The sequence below is a fragment of the Homo sapiens genome, chromosome 2, assembly GCF_000001405.40.
Source record: "Homo sapiens chromosome 2, GRCh38.p14 Primary Assembly".
In the NCBI taxonomy this organism is placed as follows: Eukaryota; Metazoa; Chordata; class Mammalia; order Primates; family Hominidae; genus Homo; species Homo sapiens.
This window is the reverse complement of record NC_000002.12, coordinates 181641596-181661149: the sequence shown is the minus strand read 5'-3', so window position 1 is coordinate 181661149 and position 19554 is coordinate 181641596. Positions and strand designations below refer to the sequence as shown.

Genomic DNA, 19554 nt, shown 5'->3' with positions numbered 1-19554 from the left:
AGCCAAAGGAGGGAAAGCTATGTTCAGGAAGCTTCCTGAAAGTTTTTTGAAAGCAATTTTCATGCATTAGTATTTTACATATATATATATATATATATACACACACACACACACACACATATATATAAACATATATATATATACACATGAATCACTAATGAGACAATTGATCTTCAGGAACTAACGTGAAATAATTGGGGTATCTTGGTATTATTGTTATAGATAAATGTTGAAGAAGTTCATTCTTTCAGATATTAATTGAGCACTTACTGTGTACTAAGAACTGTGATAGATACTGGGGATTTAATGGTGAACAAGATAAATTCTCTGCCATCAGGGGGCTTATATTCTAACAAACTTAAAATTTACTGAGTGTTCTCTGTATTTCAGTATTGTTACTAAGTACACTAACTTAGTGGGGAAGCTAGACAATAAACAAAGAAGTATGTAATAAGAATTAATAGTAAGTGCTGTAAAGAATACTAAAGCAGGTTATGGTAGAGAGATTAATGGCAGCGTGAAGATGTCCATGTTTCAATCCCCAGAACCTGTGAATATGTTACCTTACATAGCAAAAGAGGCTTTGAAAACATAATTAAGGGTTATCTGGGCAGGCCCAATGTAATCATAAGAGTCCTTATCTAAGACGGGGGACAAAGGTCAAAGACAGAGGAAAAGAGACGATTTAAGGATAGAAGCAAAGAGGAGAGATGTTAGACTGCTGGCTTTGAAGTTGGAAAAAGTGAACATGAGCCAAAACAAACAAAACAGAACAAAACAAAATCCACAGGTGACCTTTAGAAAAGGGGTCCCCAGTCTCTGGGCCATGGACCAGTACCTGTCTGTGGCCTGTTTGGAACCAGGCTGCCCAGCAGGCGGTGAGTGGTGACTGGTGGACAAGCAAGTTTTACCACCTGAGCCCTGTCTCCTGTCAGGTCAGTGGCAGCATCAGATTCTCATAGCAGCCTGAATCCTACTGTGAACTGCACATGCAAGGGATCTAGTTTGTGCTCCTTATGAGAATCTAATGCCTCCAAAATGCTCACCCCTTCAAACTGCCCCCATCCGTGGAAAAACTGTCTTCCACAAAACCAGTCCCTGGTGCCAAAAAGGTTGGGGACTGCTGCTCTAGAAGCCAGAAAAGAGGAGATATATTTTCCTCTAGAGCCTACAGAAGGAATATATAGGCCTGCTGGCACCTTGATTTTAGTCCTGTGAAACTGATTTTGGATTTCTGACCTCCAGAAATGTAAAACAATGCATTGGTTTTGTTTCAAGTCACTAAATTTGTGGTAATTAGATACAGCAGCAGTAAGAAATGAATACACAGGTTTACAGGATGGTGAATTATGGAGGGTGCTCAGGAATGGCCTCTTTGAGGTGGTGGCCTTTAAACAGAAAAATGAGCAAAGTGAAAGAATGAACCATCTGGTGGGGAGAAAAGCATTCCAGTCAGAGGGAACAGCAAAAGCGAATGCTCTGAGAAGGGATTATTCTTCTCAATGTGTTTGAGGACTGGCAAGAAGGCTTTGTGTGAATGAGCAAGGGGAAAAAGTTAGTAGGTGATCTCGGAGACATAGCCAGGGTCCAGATTATAAAGGACCTCTCGCCTTGCTAAGCATTTTGACTTTATTCCAAGAATAATGGGAAGTCAATGGAAGGCTGTGAGCAGGGTTATATGCTCTCGTTATTTTTTAAAGGCACAATGTAACTCCAAAATGGAAAATTGGCTCTGGGCTGGAGGTGCCAGCACAGGGGAAACCGAAAGCAGAGAGCTGGGTTGGGAGAGCGGAGACTGAAGTTGTCCAGCTGAGGGGTGCAGAAGTGCAGACTGCAATGACAGCAGGCAGAAAGGACTATATGTTCTAGACAGAATGGACAGGATTTGCTGGTAGATTGGATTGAAGGCATGAGACAAAGGAGACATGGATGATATCAAGGATTTTGATACTACAGATTTGAAACATTCTGAGAGGGACAGGTTTGTGATGGAAAATCATGAGTCTGGTTTTAGATATGTTTTAGAAGCTTATTGGACAGCCAAGTAGAGATGTCAGGTAGGGAGCTGGACATAATACCTAAAGTTCAGGAGAGTGGTTGGAGCTGGTGACATCATTTGCAGAACCCTGGATGGTACATAAAGCACGGGACAGTGTGTGGATAGATCCTAAAGAGAGCCCTAGGGCACTCCAGCCCTGGAAGAAGGCAGCTTATCAAAGGAAAAAGAAAGAAAGAAGGAAACACAATCCTTATTACTTCCATCTTCAGGACAATTCAAAGCCAGTGTTTTTGACTTCCTGGCTTGAGTGAAGCTTGAAAAATGGCAACTTGCCCCTTTGCAAAGCTCCTAAGGAGTAGCCATTGGCTTGGCCTGTTTGCACTGGCTCTGGGTGAGCTTTTAAAATGCCAGTGAGCTCTAATTGTGTTGATTGCCTAACAGCTGTGAATACAAGATGCTGACTCCAGAACTGCAACTCATTCTGCGAAGGGCACCGTCCTTTTCCCTCTAATGACTGCTGAACAGAGCCACCTGAAGCCTGCATGGGGTTTAGCAGCAGCTGCACTTCTGCTCTAAGAAATAGCTCACTGCAGTCAGATCAAACTGAAGCTCTTCCTTGCTTTTCCTCGAAGCTTGGGTACTTATTGTCGGAGCATTAAACAGTAAGAGTCCTAGCTTAACTGGTGCACAGTGCTTTATGTTTGGTAGGGATTTGGTTAGGCCTACAAACCGTCTGAGCTAAGAACCTTGAGAAACTCCTGCTATAGTTAGCTCTTTCTGTGACTCTGCAGTGTGACCAGGAATGAGGACAGAATTAAGAATTTGCTGCCTCTATGATAGAACTGTTTAGGCACTAGAACACTGGAACTAGATCTACAACCCTATGAATTTAATTTCCTTTTCAACTCCCCTACTCCTTCTTTTCAATATGATGATAATGATCTTGTTTAAAAAAAAAAAAAGCCTTCTGCTTTACTTCCCACTCTGCTCCTCTTCCCAGGGACTCACTTTCTTCCTGACTGCTTCCCCATTACAAGTACTCAGCTCCCTGTTTTATCACCCTGCTTAGAGCAGCCATTATCAGCCTTGGCTGAACATTGGAATTACCTGGGAACTTTTAAAAATCCGGAAGTCTGGGTCTCGCCTCCAGAGATTCCAGCTTAGTTGTCTTGAGCGTGGCCTGGACATTTGGGTTTTCAAAAGTTCCCTATGTAACTTTAATGTGCAACCACAATTGAGAATCACTAGCCTCCAGACTCTCTGTGTTATCAAAATTAATGAGCAGCTGATTTTAGAAATCTCAGTTATCAGGAGAAAAGGGTGAACCCCCCCAGGGCTCTTCTCCTTTTCCAGGTGACACTTCTTTATGGCAGTGCGTGAAAGTGAAGCCCTGCTGCTTGTAATCTCCCTCAAGGGAGTGCAAGATCCAGGCAAAGACAAGACTGCAGAGGCGCTACCTTGGGGGAAAGTAGGACCCTAAATACTTACACCTGGAGGCACTTACCTTTAATACTGAATTTGTCAGATGCAAATTTGTCTATGCAAACCAGGGCCTTATCTCTAGCTTCCCCTCAGGGGTTTTGGGAAGTGCGCTACTACTCTGAAACAGGGTTGTAAAGCGTCACCTGTGCTCTCCAGGGAACCCTCTGGAAAGGAGGTGGAAAAACAGAGGCTTCCACCCTTGCAACTCTAAGTGTGTTCCTTGGCCAGTGGGATCCATCACCTAGTATTTTCTTAGATATGTGGTATCTGGGGGCCAGTCCCACACCTATGCAATAAGAATCTCCATTTGAACAAGATGCCCAAGCGATTATATGCAAGTTTAAGATTGAGGAGGGCTGGTTTAACTCGAGGGTAACGAAAAGTACGAAATCGTACTTTACAGGAGAAGCTAGGCGGAGGGAGCCACTTATTCTTCCTCTTGCAGCTGGGTCTTTTTGTGGTGAGTGGCGAAGCGGCGAGGCTGGCAGGCCAGGGTGCTGGACTGGGTCAGGCGCGGCCCCGCCTCCCTCCTGGGTCCCTGCCCTGCGCGCCGTTGCTGTGGCAGCGCTGGACGCGGCTAGAGCTGGGGCTGCCGCGCCCTCCACCTCCTTCTCCAAAGGCCTCCCCGGACCCCTGGCTCGGGCCCAGCCTGCGACTCCGCCATGCCCTGGAGGAGGCGCAGGAACCGGGTGAGTGCCCTGGAGGGCGGCCGGGAGGAAGAGGCGCCCCCGGAGGCTGCCGCTGTGCCTCCGGCGCTGTTAACGTCCCCGCAGCAGACGGAGGCGGCGGCCGAGCGGATTCTGCTCCGGGGCATCTTCGAGATCGGGAGGGACAGTTGTGACGTGGTGCTGAGCGAGCGAGCACTGCGGTGGCGGCCCATTCAGCCCGAGCGCCCGGCGGGTGAGTGCCCGGCCCCAAGCGTCTTCGCCTCCCTCCGCGCTTCCTCCCTCTCCCCGGCCCAAGGCCTACACCCACGAGCTTTTGCTCCACCCTCCCCTTTTCTCGCCTCCCCTCCCCGTGCTCGCCTCACTGCCCGGACAGGTTACCGAGTCCCCAAGTCGCCGCCTCCTCCTTCCCAACTGGGAACTCACGCCTCTCGCCCCATCCCAGAACCCCCAGGGATTCTTTCGCTACCTAGCCTTTTCCCGCCTCCGAGACCTTCCCCGGGCAAACGTCACAAGCAGCTTTTGCTCAGAGTCTCAGCAGAAAATCTTGAGCCCCAAAGGGGAGGTAATTTACAAATGTGAGAAGGTCAACTACTCCTCCCCTCCAAGTTGAAAAAGTTTTAATCCATTAACTTTGATGGTACATTGAAACTATAAACATCTCACAGATTATGCCTACACAAGAGTTCTGAATCCAACTCTCATTTTGCTGACTTGAAAATGTAACTCCAGAGCTTTGGGAGTGTTTCTGGGTTTTTTTCTGCCCCTCACCTTCCTTGCCATTGTCTAGAATTAAGACTTCTTCAGGCTCGGTCTAGAAACTTTTGATTTTTAATATTGACCCTAGATTATTGGATCACAGTTTTGCGATGCTTAGTTACGTCAAGCGGTTTGCTTAACGTTTGCCTTTTATTGACTTAAAATTTTAGTTACCTAAAAAAGTTATAATGCTGTAGTTTACAACAAATACTTCGAGTCTATTTTCACGTCTTAGTCAAATAGCCTTATAGACTTAACAGATATTTTATAAAGACCATTTTGCAAGTCTTATAAGTAGACTTTCATATAGTCTTATTTCTAAGTCCAAACTCGAGAAATACTCCCCATTGTTGAATTAGCTTAGATGTGAGCGGTGAAAGACAGATGAAATGGGGGAGGAACTACATCAAGGTTACTCTACTTGCGAGGAGATGACTTGGGGGAGATGGAATTTGGTATTCAACCTCTTTTAGCTAAATACAAATTTATGAAATTAAAAAAATTGCCTTCCCCTGTTGGAAAACAAGACACAGTGTGGTATTTATGTTACAGAATAGACTCACTGTCTTAAAGTCTTGCTCAAAAGTCTAACAAAATGAAACCAACTAGCCAGGGATTCAGCACTGGTTGCGATTGTGAATTCTGCCTGTGCTGCATGTGCCATGCTCGCTCGCTTCACGAAAACAGTCTTTGACCTTAAAGTGTTTTCAGGTGTTTTAAAAACCAAGGTGTAGTATTTTCTTGAACCTTTTAAGTTAAAAGCTAGGGATATAGCTATGGAATTATTTGTAAGTCTTTCAGGCAATTCGAGTTATGCAATATAGAAGTTTATAATTACAGTTTGGATTAGCCCAAAGAGCCAGTTTAACCTACAGTGCAGCTGAAATGCTATAGAATTAAAATGAGACATTGTGCAATGAGAGGTCATACAAACCAATGTTGCAGTATTTGTGTACAAAAAAAGCAAACAATGACATGAGAAAAGAAATGCTGTTTTATATTGAGTGGTGATTAAGGTAAAATAGGTTTAATTAGTGCACCCCTGGCAGTAGAGTTTAAAATACATCTTGACAGATTTGTAACTTTAAAGGTTGCAAGTACTGATTCTTTGTTTAATTATGCCCTAAAACCATTTGGTGGTCTTTTCCTTCATACAGGTGTACCCTTTTTCTTTGTAATTAATACCTGGTATTCAAACCACTTTGGGCCTCTAAAATTGGGGGCACAGAAGCCTAGAGCCTTAGTAAGTACTTCTGTTTATGGAAGAAACCAAGAGATGTTTTATTTAGGTAAAATATAGCCAGGCGTGGTGTGTCCCTGTAATCCCAGCTACTTGGGAGGCTGAGGCAGGTGAATTGCTTGAACCTGGGAGTTGGAGGTTGCTGTGAGCGGAGATCACACCACTGCACTCCAGCCTGGGCAACAAGAGTGAATCTCCATCTCAAAAAGCACAACAAACAAACAAAAACAAACACTGGGAAATAAGAAGGAGATATTAAGAGATGATATATTTAAATGTTAGAAATGCTCTGTTGTTGAATAAGCTTAGATGTGAGTGGTAAAAGATTAAATGGAAGAGGGAGCTACATCAAAGTTACTGTACTTGGGAGGACATGATATGGTAGGATGTGGTGGGGGGAGAGCATGTCCATTGCTGGTTGGCAAGTGACTGGCTGCCTCAGAAAAGGATGAGGGTGGGTAGGGGAGATCACTGGAGATTATTAGAACATACGTATGTTTTCAAGATTGCTTAGTTTTTAAACCTCATAGTACTTTGTTTTCACTGATGAAATAAAATACTATGTGATCTTTTTCTAATTTTCCATCTTGAGTAATAAGCAAAGACATTAATGTATTTTATGAAGGCTCTGACTGCCAAAATTGGGACAAATTGATGGTCTTGTTGGCAGGGTAAATGAGCATAACCGTAGTAATTGTAGTTCTTTTTATTGGGTTCAGGGATGACCTGGAATAATGGATGTGTTATTACCCTTCCCTGTAGAAGTGAGGCTTTCGAAAAGAGGCTATAAGTCAATTTGGGAGGCACAAAGTATCAGCGCTTTTTGGGGATTTTTTTTTTTTTTAAGTAGAGAAATATTTTAAATGTGTGATATAAAGTTATGCATGTGCTTCTTAAGCACATTAACTCAACCAGATCCAACAGCTGGTCTAATAACTTTTTAATTGTTTAAAAAAATTTAATTGACACATTGTAATTGTATATATTTATGAGATACTATTTGATGTTTTGATATTTACGTTGTACAATTATCCAATCAAAGTAGTTAGTTATCCTTCACCTCACACTTTCATTATTTCCTTGTGGGTTAGAACATTCAAAAGACTCTCTTCTAGTTATTTTGTAATATATAGTATTTTACTGTTAACCATAGTCACCATACTATGCAACAAAACACCAGAATTTATTCTTCCTACCTAGTTGTAACTTTGTGTCTTTTGACTAACCTCTCTCCATCCTTCCTTCTCCCCTCCCCTTCCCAGTCTCTGGTAACTATTCTAATCTCTGCCTTATCTATATCAACCTTTTATAATAGAAAAAGATTCTACATGTGAGTGACATGTGGTATTTGTCTTTCTGTGTCTGGGTTACTTCTCTTAACACGATGTCCTCCAGGCTTAGCATTCACAATTGACAGGACTTTATTTTTTAATGGCTGACTAGTATTCCATTATGTTTCTGTATCACATTTTCTTTATTCATCCATTGTTGTACGCTTAGGTTGATTCCATATCTTGGCCATTGTGAATAGTGCTGCAGTAAATATGGGATTGCAGATCTCTTCAACATACTCATTTTATTTCCTTTGGATGCATACCTGGTAGTGGGATTGCTGGATCATATGATACTTCTATTTTTAATTGTTTTAGGAACTTCCATGCTGTTTTCCATATTGACTGTACTAGTTTACAATCATACCACCGGTGTGTAAGTGTTCCCTTTTCTCCATATCTGTGTCAGTACTTATTTTCTTTTGTCTTTTTGGCAATAGCCATTCTAACTGGAGTGAGGTGTATCTAATTGTGGTTTTGATTTGCATTTCCCTGATGATTAGTGATGTCAAGTATCTTTTAAATGCACCTGTTGATCATTTATATGTCTTCTTTTGAGACCTATCAATTAAAGTCGTTTGCCCATTTAAAAAATCAAGTTGGCCAGGCACAGTGGCTCACGCCTGTAATCCCAGCACTTTGGGAGGCCGAGGCGGGCAGATCACGAGGTCAGAAGATCGAGACCATCCTAGCCAACATGATGAAACCCCGTCTGTACTAAAAATACAAAAATTAGCCGGGTGTGGTGGCACATGCCTGTAGTCACAGCTACTTGGGAGGCTGAGGCAGGAGAATTGCTTGAACCCAGGAGGTGGAGATTGCAGTGAGCCGAGATAGTGCCACTGCACTCCAGCCTGGTAACAGAGTGAGACTTCATCTCAAAAAAAAAAAAAAGTCATTATTATTTTATCTGTTGAATTAATTTTCTTATATATTTTGGATTTTATCCCTTTGTCGCATGTATAGATTGCAAATATTTTTCTCCCATTCTGCAGCTGTTTTCACTTTGTTAATAGTTTTCTTCAAGGTGCAAAGTTTTTTAGTTTGATGTAATCTTATTTTGTCTATGCTTTTGAGGTCTTATTTTAAAAATCCTTGCTCAGGTCAGTGTCGAGAATAATTTCCCTTTTTTCTTGTAATTTCATAGTTTTCAAGTTTTACATTTTAAATCTTTAATCTATTTTTATTTTTGTATATGGTGAGAGGGAGGGGTTTAATCTCATTCTTCTGCATGTGAATATCTGATTTTCCTAGTACCATTTGTTGAAGAGACTGTCTTTTTCCCAGTGCATGTTCTTGACATCTTAAAAATTCAGTTGGCTGTTGTAGGTGCAAAAATTTATTTCTGGGCTTTCCATTTTATTTCATGGGTCTGTCTGGTTTTATGCTAGTACCATGCTGTGTTGATATAGTTTTATCGTATATTTCGAAGTCAGGTAGTATGATACTTCCAGTTTTGTTCTTTTTGCTCAGGGTTGCTTTGGCTATTTGGGGTTTTTTTTGTGGTTCTGCATGAATTTTCAGATTGTAACATTTCTGTAAAGAATGGTGTTGGTATTCTGATAGCAATTGCATTAAATCCATAGATCACTTTGGGTAGTATGGCCATTTTAACAATATAATTATTTCAATCCATGAACATGTACTATCTTCCCATTTATTGATGTGGGAAGATAATTTCTTTCATCAAAGTTTTATACTTTTCAGTGTAGAGATTCTTTCACTTCCTTGGTTGTTTATTTCTAGGTATCTTTTTTTTTAAAAAAGTACTATAAATGGAATTGTTTTCTTGATTTTTCACATAGTACAATATTAGTGTATAGAAATGCTACTGATTTTTATATGTTGATTTTGTGTCTTGCAACTTTACTGAATTCTAACAGTTCTTTTGTGGAGCATTTTGGGTTTTCTATCTATAAGATCATATCTTCTGCAAACAGGGACAGTTTGACATGCTTCTTTCTAATTTGGATGCTCGTTACTTCTTTCTCTTGCCCAGTTTATCTGGCTAGAACTTTCAGTAGTATGTTGAATAGAAATTGTGTAAGTGGCCATCCTTTCCTTGTTATTGATCTTAGAATTGATCTCGTTATTGGTCTTTTCCCATTCAGTATGATGTTAGCTGTGGATTTGTCATATGTGGCCTTTGTGTTGAAGTACAAACTTTCCATACCTAATTTGTTGGGTTTTTAATCATGAAATTATGCCACATTTTGTCAAAGGCTTTTAATGCATCTATTAAAATGATCATACAGTTTTTGTCTTTGTTAATGTGTATCACATTTACTGCTTTGTGTATGTTAAACCATTCTTGCATGCCTCTGATCCCAGTGATGAATCGCACTTGAATGTAGCAAGTTATCTTTCTAATGTGCTGTTGGATTTGGTTTGCTAATATCTTGAGAATTTTTGCACCTATGTTCATCAGGGATATTGTACTATAGTTTCCTGTGTTGTATTGTTATCTGATTTTGGAATTAGGGTGATGCTTGACTCATGAAATGAGTTTGGAAGTATTCCCTTTGCTTCAGTTTTCTGAAATATTTTGAGAGGAATTGATATTGGTTTGTTAAATGTTTGGTTGAGTTCAGCAGTGAAGCCATTCGTTTCTGGGCCTTTCTTTGATGAAAGACTTTATTACTGATTCAATTTCCTCACTTATTATTGGTCTGGTCAGATTTTATGTCTTCCTAACTTAATCTTGATAGGTTGTATGTGTCGGGGACTTCGTTTTTTCTATGTTATCAAATTTGATGAAACTTGTTGAAAACCAACTCTAAATTTTGTTCATCTTTTGAAATTATTTTTAGTCTCTATTTCATTTATTTCTCCTCTGAGTTGAATTACTTCCTTACTTCTACCAACTTTGGGATTAGTTTGTTCTGTTCTTTTTTTTCTTTCTTTCTTTTTTTTTGAGATGGAGTTTCGCTCTTGTTGCCCAGGCTGGAGTGCAATGGTGTGATCTCGGCTCACCGCAACCTCTGCCTCCTGGGTTCAAGCAATTCTACTGCCTCAGCCTTCCTGAGTAGCTGGGATTATAGGCATGTGCCACCACACCTAGCTAATTTTGTATTTTTAGTAGAGACGGGGTTTCTCCATGTTGGTCAGGCTGGTCTCGAACTCCCGACCTCAGGTGTTCTGCCTGCCGTGGCCTCCCAAAGTGCTGGGATTACAGGCATGAGCCACAATGCCTGGCCGATTAGTTTGTTCTTAATTTTGTAGTGCCTTGAGGTTCATCATTAGGCTGTTTGTCAGAAATCTGTTGTCTTTTTTGATATGGGCATTTAATACTATAAACTTACCTCTTAAAACTGCTTGTGCTATGTTTCGTAGGTTTTGTTATGGTATATTTTCATTCTCACTTGTCTCAAGAAAAATTTTAATTTCCTTTTTAATTTCTTCACTGACCCATTGGTTGTTTAGGAGCATTTTGTCTCCATGATTTGTGAAGTTGTCAGTTTTTCTCATTGTTGATTTCTAGTTTATTTCTTTTCTTTCTCCTTCCTTCTTTCCTTCCTTCCTTCCTTCCTTCCTTCCTTCCTTCCTTCCTTCCTTCCTTCCTCCCTCCCTCCCTCCCTCCCTCCCTCCCTCCCTTCTGTATTGCTTTGTCTCCCAGGCCCAAGTGCAGAGGCACGATCTTGGCTTACTGCAATCTCTGCCTCCTGGGCTCAAGCAATCCTCTCACCTCAGCCTCCCAAGTAGCTGGGACTACAGGTGTGTGTCACTGTGCCTACAGGTGTGTGTCACTGTGCCTGGTTAAATTTGTTTTTTGTTTTTGTTTGTTTTGTTTTGTATGTTTAGTAGAGATGGCTTTCGCCGTTTTGCCATGTTGCCCAGGCTGTTCTCAAATTGCTGGGCTCAAGCAACCTGCCCACCTTGGCTTCCCAAAGTGCTGGGATTACAGCCATGAGCCACTGCACCTGGCCTGATTTCTAGTATTATAACGCTGTGGTCAGTAAAGATACTTGATATTATCTTAATCTTTTAAAATTTGTTAAGACTTGTTTTGTGGCCTAACATGTGATCTCTCCTCAAGAATGTTCCATGTGCATTTGAGAAGAATGTGTATCTGCAGCTGTTGGACGGAATGTTCTGTAAGTGTCTGCTAGGTGCATTTGGTCTATGGTTCAGCTTAAGTCCAATATTTCTTGATCTCTCTGTGTGTGTTTGTGTATGTATGTCTAGATAATTTATTCATTATTGAAAGTGGGCTGTTAAAGTCTCTTACTATTATTGTATTGGAGTTTATCTCTTTAGGTTGAATATTTGCTGTATGTATCTGGGTACTTAGGTATTAGGTACATGTATGTTTATAATTGTTATATCCTGTTGTTGAATTGATCCCTTTATCATATTATGACCTTCTTTGTCTCTTTTTACAGTTTTTGACTTAAAGTCTATTTTGTCTGATATGAGTATTGCTACTCCTGCTCACTTTTGGATTCTGATTGCATGGAATATCTTTTTCCATTTCTTCACTTTCAGTCTGTCTTTAACGGTGAGGTAAGCCTCTTTTAGGCAGCATGTAGCTGAGTTTTTTTTCCAGTCCTGCAGCTACTTTATATCTTTTCATTAGATAATTTATTTACATTCAAGGTTTTTATTGATAAGAACTTATTTCTCCCATTTTGTTACTTGTTTTCTGGTTGTCTTGTAGATTCTCAGTTCTTCTTTCTCTCTTGTTTACCTCTGTGGTTTGGTCATTTTCTGTGGTCCTAAGCTTTGTTTTCCTTCTATCTCTTGTTTATGTATCTGTTGTAATTGCTTTCTTTGTGGGTACCATGGGGCTAACATAAAAAGTCTTGTAGTTATAATAAACTATTTTAAGCTGATAGCAAGTTAACTTTGGTCACATAAAAATACTCTAGACTTTTTTCCTCCGCCATCCCTAATTTATATTTTTGTTGCCTTTATTTCTTTAGTATGTGTTCCCTAGCCATTGTAGCTGTTGTTGTTTTTGACCAGTTGTACTTTAAACCTTCATCTAGAGGATCGACAGGTTTACATAGTAACATGATATCACTGGGGAATTCTGAGTTGGATTTATACATTTACCTCTATTGGTGAGGTTTATATTCTCACATGTGTTCATGATAGTTATCATTTTTTCATTTACAGCTGTAGCACTCCTGTAAACATTGCTTGTAAGGCTGGTGTAGGAGTGAATTCCCTCAGCTTTTGTTTGTCTGGGAAGGCCTTTATTCTCCTCCAGGATAGTTTTGCTGGATATAGTATCTTTTGTCCTTGGCCGAGACTCGTTTTTTTTTGTTCTTTTAGCATCTTGAATAAATTATCCCTTTCTCTCCTGGCATACATCAGTAATTTAATGTTACTGATGAGAAATCTACTGATAGTCTAATTAGGATTCCCTTACATGTAACTTGATGCTTTTCTCTTGCAGATTTTAGAATTCTCTGTCTTCAACTTTTGACAGTTTGACTATAATGTGCCACAGAGAGAATCTTTTTGGGTTTAATCTAATTGGGAATCTTTGTGGTTCCTTCATCTGGATGTCTATATCTCCCCCAATATTTGGGAAGTTTTTAGCTATTATTTCATTAAATAGGTTTTCTGTGCCTTTCTTCAACTTTTCTCCATCTGCCAGTTCTATAATGCAAAAATTTCTTTGCTTAGTTTTTTTTAAACTTTGGGTTATTTCACAAAACCTATTTTCAGATTTTGAAATTCTTTCTTCTGCTTGATCTGGTCTATTCTTGAAGCTCTCGATTGTGTCTTTTATTCACTGCATTCTTCAGATTTCTGTGTTTTAAATGATAGATCTTGTTTTAATTTCTCATTTTATAACTTTCCTGATTTCATTGGGTTGTTTGTATTCTCTTGTAGCCTGCTGAATTTTTTTAAGATCATTATTTTTAATTTTGTTTCAGGCATTTTATAAACACCCTTTTCTTTGGGGTCTGTTACTAGAGACTCACTGTGTTCCTTTGGCAGTGTCGTGTGTCCTTGCTTTTTCATGTTTCTTGTGACATCTGCACATCTAGTGGAATAGTCACATTTTCCAGTTGTATGCAGTAGCTTTCACAGGGAGAGACTTTTCCTGTAGATGGGTCCTAGAGTGTTGGTTGGGTATGGTACATTGGCTTTGGTTTGGGGTGGATTCAGTACCATGGTCTCTGTGTAGTTTCGTCAGCTGTAATCTTCACAGCAATGTCTGATTTCCTCAGTGGCCTAGGCTGCAGGAGTTTTTGATGGTGGTATAGTTTTGCTAGGGACAGGCATGTCATGCTAGTTGTCAGGCTGGACACTTGCAGGCTCGGAGGGCTGACAAGCTGTCTTTTGGGCTCCCCAGGGAAGAGAAAGTATGATTTTCCAGCTTTTCTTCTATGTTTATTTAAAACTTTGTTGTCTGGCTCACAGTGTTCTTTATCTAAAGTCTAGCCAGTGGTGGTGGTCATATTGCAATCATTATTACAGCTTCAGACTTTCTAGACCTTTTCCATTTTAGTGACCTTCAGCCTTCATTCGCTTCCATTCATGACCACAGAATAGATGTAGTCATCTCTATTGAAGGCAAACCCATCCCATCTCTTCAGCTTCATCTAGAAATTTGTTTCATCTGTTACACTTTCTTTCTTTGGTTTTTAGCCTTCATTCTCTACCAGCTCTTTCACTTAAGCAGAGATATGTTCAAGACTCTCCCATTCTAACAGTTCCCTGCCTTGATCCTACAAGCTTTTCTCTTTAGCTGCTACCTTGCTTTTTATTTTTATTTTTTTCTCACTTGCTCTGATAATCTCCTAGAAAAATTGGCTTACTCTGACCATCTCCATTAGTTCACCTCTTAATTATTCTTCAACCATCTGAGACCTGGCTTTGTTCTTTCTCTACTGAAACTCTTCAGGCAGAGATTAGCAGAAGTCTTCTAATTGCTCAATGAAGTGGAAATTTTCAGTCCTTATTTTCTGTATTTCTCCTTCATTTGACTTTGACTTAACTCTCTTGGTTTTTGTAATACCACCAGCACCTAGTTTATCAGTCTCTCATGGGAACTTCATTCTATCTGCCTGCCAAATGGTGGAGTCCCAAGGACTGTGGTCTGATCTGCTGTTCCTCATTACATGCTTTCTGGTCAGTATTGCACACTGTGGTTCTCATCTACCATCATCTACCTCCAGAAGTGCCATATATTTAGTAAGTTTACAAGAAAAGCAACTTTCCTTGCTCCGTAGACTAACTCTGATCTTTTGTTCCCTATCATGGTTATGGAACTCACTAATTATTCAGCATCAGCTGTCAGAATGTTTAACTTTGCTATTTAGGTTTGTGTAAGTTATGGGACAATAACTAGGATAACTAGAATTAGCTTGTAGCTTATGTGGGTTAGATAATACAATTGCATATGTAAGTAGTGAATATTTTGGCTTAATAAGTGAAGGAGTATTTAGGAAGCTATCTGGAATGTTATCTAAGTCAGGATTCTGAAGGTAACTCTAGCCTCACTGTCCCTTACTCACTATTTCTAAACACCCACCAATCCTGCCTACTTTATTTACTTGGTATTTCTCCAATCTGCCATCCTTCTCTGTCCGACCAATCACTACCCTAGCTCAGGCCTTCAAAGTCTCTCACTTGACCTACTCCTTCACCTCCTTTGAACCTGTGCACAAATGTTAGCTTCTTAGTAAGGCTTTCTCTGGTCACCTGTATAAAATTCCCATCTGCTACATACTTCCTGGTTCCCTGTATTGCCTTATATTCCTCAGTGGCATTTATCTCCTTGTATACTATATAATTTCTGATCTCTGTCCTTTCTATTACCACCCCACTTCAAGATGGCAAGGATTTGTCTGTTATATTAGTGACTGTCCTAATAGGAAAAAAAATGGCACATTTATATTAGAGTAACTTGAGAAGAATTTTTAAAAGTCAGTATTTATAAAGCTGTAGATATAGAGATAGTGAAGTACTCTTGGGACTAGTAATCATTGGGCAGGTGATACCATTTTTAAGCCCAAAAGGGCATAGTGAAAGAGCAGGTGCCTGAACCTGGATTCAGAGAGACTATGTAGAGGAGGCCACTAGGCAGGAGCTGTGGCCTTTGCCTCAGCTTGGCTGATTACCTCACTAATCCTCACTAATCCTAAATTACCCAAGTTCCTTCTTTTCTGGCCCATTTCACAGTCCAAAGCCAACTTTAAGCCAGAGGGCAAGGGGAGCACTTGATGCAGTCCATGCAGTATGGCCTCCCAGTGAACAGGGCAGGTGGAGGATAGAAACTAAATCTAGATGGAGGAGAGGGAAGATATTCAGAATATGTTTTTTCTTTACTGTCAGCACCTTGAAGAGTGCCTGGCATATAGATAATATTTATTGAATGAATGAATTTGTTACTGGTTTACTGGCCTCATGAACTTTAGTTTTGCCTATTCTATTATAACTTGGTGACTACATTCCTATATACTTGATACCAACTCCTCATTAACTACAAAGGCAGTATTCCCCTCTCCCCCTTTTTAAACATCAAAACTCTTTTTTAAAAAAAATTCTTAAATGAATCGCCAGTATATAACACATAAAAGTATGGGTGCCTTGATTGGAGTGGTGGGTAAATGATCCTGAGTCTGTCTGTTTGGGTTCCCTCTTTGCCTAGCAGGAATGTGACTGTCTTGTTTAAAGCCCACTGAAGTAGAAAACAGGATGAGAGACACACTCTTCAACATGGCATAAGATTTCCATGCTTGGCTCCTGCCTATCTCTGCATCCTCATTTCTCAGTAGTTTCCTCATATTTTACCATCCTGTAATTGAAAGAATTACAAAACTAGTTCTCTACACAAGCTTTCTTGCTGTTCCAGCTGCTGGGAATTAGCTTCCTTTGTGCTTTTTTTTATTTGAATGATTCATGTTTACATTCATTAAAATTAATGAAGATTCATTACAGTTGTTTTCTCTTTAGGCATAATTGGATCTCCTATACTGAGACATTGAATGCAACTTTGATTGTTTTTTTCCCCCATTATATGTTAAGCTCCTTGAGGTTCTTTTCAACTTTGCGTTATTCCAGGATTTCTATCGTAAGAGTTAAGGTTCATCCACTTCTCTGATGTGAGGTTCATGGCAGGAAGGTTCCATGTTGCTCAGCTGCAGAGTAGAAAATACTGAGCAGGGCTTAAATAGATTAGGATGCTGCCATTATAATATAAACTGTGTTTACGAAAGAGCATCATCAATTCAGAAAATATCTTTTTCATTGACTACAGTGGTGCCTGATGATCTTTCTATTACAATCTTAAATTATGGTCATTTTAATTATAGAATCATACATGGGTTTATTTATGTTAAAATAAGGTAATTATCAAGCTAGCTGTGACCTATGAGAAAAATCCTGAAGAAATGATGAAGGGATCAGGTGACTGTTTTTGAAGTCAAGTGTGAAAGGTCAGACCACTCTGGGTCATGGGACCCTGCCAAGGCAGAGCAGGTCAAGTGCTGTGCCCAGTGGGGCCAACCCCCAGTATGGTGCCAGGGACTGGGTGTGAGAAGTCAAAAATTAAGAATACACCTCAGAAAGGGGACATGGACAGATGCCACAGACTTATTTGCGTATTTCATGATTTAGCCCTTAGCTTGTGCTGATACTGGATCAGATATTTTCAGAGTTCAGTATTTTCAAAAGCATCGCTGATCACCTGTTGGCATTGTTTTACATCTCAACCAAGGAAAAACTTTTGGGACATCTGTTTAACAAGGGGTAAGCTTTTATTTGAAATGTTCGATTAAAGCAGAAGAGTCAGGCATTTTTTTGTGCCTCCCCAAAGAAAGATTTGTTTACTGTCCTGTGTGAATAAATATAATGTCATTATTTCCCGTAAAGGAAAAGCTGATGGGGAGAGTAAGTAATGGGTAAGATTAGGCAATGTTAAGCTCATATATTAGTATGTTTAAGAGTGATCAATTTAGGGATCTCTGTGACAGAGATGCCAAATGCTCACAGTGCTATCTCATGTTGGAAACATGTGTCTCCTCCACTTTTCCTCAGTCCTCTGAAATGACGGCCCTTTAGGGATTGACAGATACTATACAGATTTCTGTGCTGATATGTGATTTGTCTAAAACAAAAGTTTCACAAAACAATTCTTACCATTGCCATTTAAGAGTCACTCTGATATGCTCTGTTTCCATTGCAAACAAATGCTCATTATGATTTGTGAAATTAACTTCACAATTTCCTAATGGATAACACCTTGAAGTATGAAAAGCACTACAGGATCTTTTATAGCTTCCCTCCTCCAGCTCTCTATAATCTGCTCCCATCTGTGGTGTAGGAAAGATTTCAGCAGTGGCCGCTGAAGGCCCTAAGATCTTGTCTCAACAGATAGCAAGGTGCATAACAGACTTTGGACAGGTTGTTTAACATGTCTGAGTTACTGTTTATTCACTGGCAAAATGAAGGGCTTATATTATATTGTCTCTAAGTACTATCAGTTCTGACCACCTATGAACTTTCATTTTAAAGAAAATACCTATTTCTATGGCCTTTAGGCATTAGGGAATTTTGTCAAATTAAATAAATCTCAGTAAGGTTTGATGGTCAATGGGGCCCACTGTCTGGTGTGTGTGGAGGGGTGTTGTATTTTACATCAGGAACTTCAGAGCCCTCATGAATTTCTAATTAGAGGAACCACCTGGGAAATATAAGTCAAAGCCCTTTGCTCGCCTTACTCAGCTTTAGGGCACAGTGACTAGAGGTGGGCAATCGCTTTGGTGTAGGTATTGTCATTGGAAAGGAAGAAACCATTTTCTGGAGGAAAAGAATTGGTTGAGGCTAGCTTTAAGCAGCTATTTCATGATGGACAAAAGGACTAGCTCATCCATTCTTCATTCGTTTCTCTGTATCCTCTATCAAATTTCTGAGTAAAGATTTTATACAATGCTTGATTAGCATTCAAATAGTATGTTTCAAAGATTTTAAAAAAAATAAAACTAGGCCTTTGAATCATAATTATGGCTTATAACTCTATTTTTCATATACTTACTATCTCAAGTTACAAATTTCATGTTATGTTTTTTTCAAAAGAGTATTCCTGCCACAACTCAGAGCTCAGCTGAATTAGAGCAGTGACTAGAAAATCTGAGAAGGCTGAGCTTCAAAATAAGGTCTGGAAAGTGTTTCTTATTGTTACAAGAGAGTCAAAATGATTTTCTTGAGCTTTAAGTTTATGTAAGTATTTACTTGACACTTAGCAGTTTAAAAGATAATGTGCAAAAATATGAAAATGAGAAAAAACAATTTCAAAACAAGAGTTGGTGATTACGTGAGACTTAGTAGAGCAAAGTATATTCTAAGTATTAATCTGTCTAAGCTGTTTGGGAACAGATGTACGTGAAATGGATACCGGGTGTTCTGTTGTGTACACCCCAAGTGAGACATCTGTTGGTAGACTGTGTGGTCAGAAATAATGGAAGCAGGGGTTAAACCCCAATATGACCTATTACTCATGTGAATTATTGAAGGACTAATTACTCAGTAAAACATGATGCTTTGATTCATCAGTCTACACGTTAAGAAAAAAGCCTCTTTAGAAAAAAATTTAGTTCTGTTTCTAAGCTGTCAAATTTGAGGAAATTTTTAAGATGTATGCAAAGACTCAAATTTCCATAGTAACTGCAAATACTATCTGCTTATAAAGTTTTAAAATGTTTTGACAGGTCTACTAATTTATCATAAAAATAGCCTCAAAAGTTTTAGCTTTTTGTTAGGGTAGGTTGGGTCTCACAGAAAACAAATGTAGAGTGAATTTTCTAAAGCAGGGCTGTCCAGTTAGACTTCCTGAAATGATGGGAGTGCACTATATCTGAAGTGTTCAATACAGTTACCACCAGCTACATGTGGCTATTGAACAGAAACATGGCTAGTGTGACTGAGAAACTGAATTTTTAATTATATTTAATTTTTATTAATTTGAATTCAATAACTGCATGTAGCAAGTGGCAACTGCATTGTACAACACAGCTCTGACACATGGAGAGTTGAAAATGTTTGTTTACTTTCTTCCCAAGTTTTCATTTTAGTCTTTGTTTCTACATAGAAAGGAAGATATAGCTTTTGAAAAATGAA

General features: G+C 39.5%; 1 protein-coding gene across 7 annotated transcripts in view, besides 2 other annotated features; it reads left to right on the top strand.

Annotated features, from left to right (window-relative positions):
- Positions 3958-4187: a silencer, noted in NCBI's record as "silent region_12158". NCBI's record gives its function as "represses an Ori minimal core promoter by ATAC-STARR-seq in GM12878 lymphoblastoid cells {active_cell/tissue: GM12878}" and the evidence as "EXISTENCE:reporter gene assay evidence [ECO:0000049][PMID:35858748]".
- Positions 4045-19554, top strand: part of CERKL (CERK like autophagy regulator) — a 120434-nt gene continuing 104924 nt past the window's right edge. For all 7 annotated transcript variants that reach the window (NR_027689.2, NR_027690.2, NM_001030312.3 and 4 more), the window contains exon 1: positions 4045-4381. Coding sequence is in view for 5 of the 7 variants with exons in the window: in NM_001030312.3 (NP_001025483.1) it covers positions 4144-4381 (238 nt within the window). In the remaining 2 variants the exon portion in view is untranslated. The remainder of the gene's footprint in view (positions 4382-19554) is intronic.
- Positions 4318-4407: a silencer, noted in NCBI's record as "silent region_12157". NCBI's record gives its function as "represses an Ori minimal core promoter by ATAC-STARR-seq in GM12878 lymphoblastoid cells {active_cell/tissue: GM12878}" and the evidence as "EXISTENCE:reporter gene assay evidence [ECO:0000049][PMID:35858748]".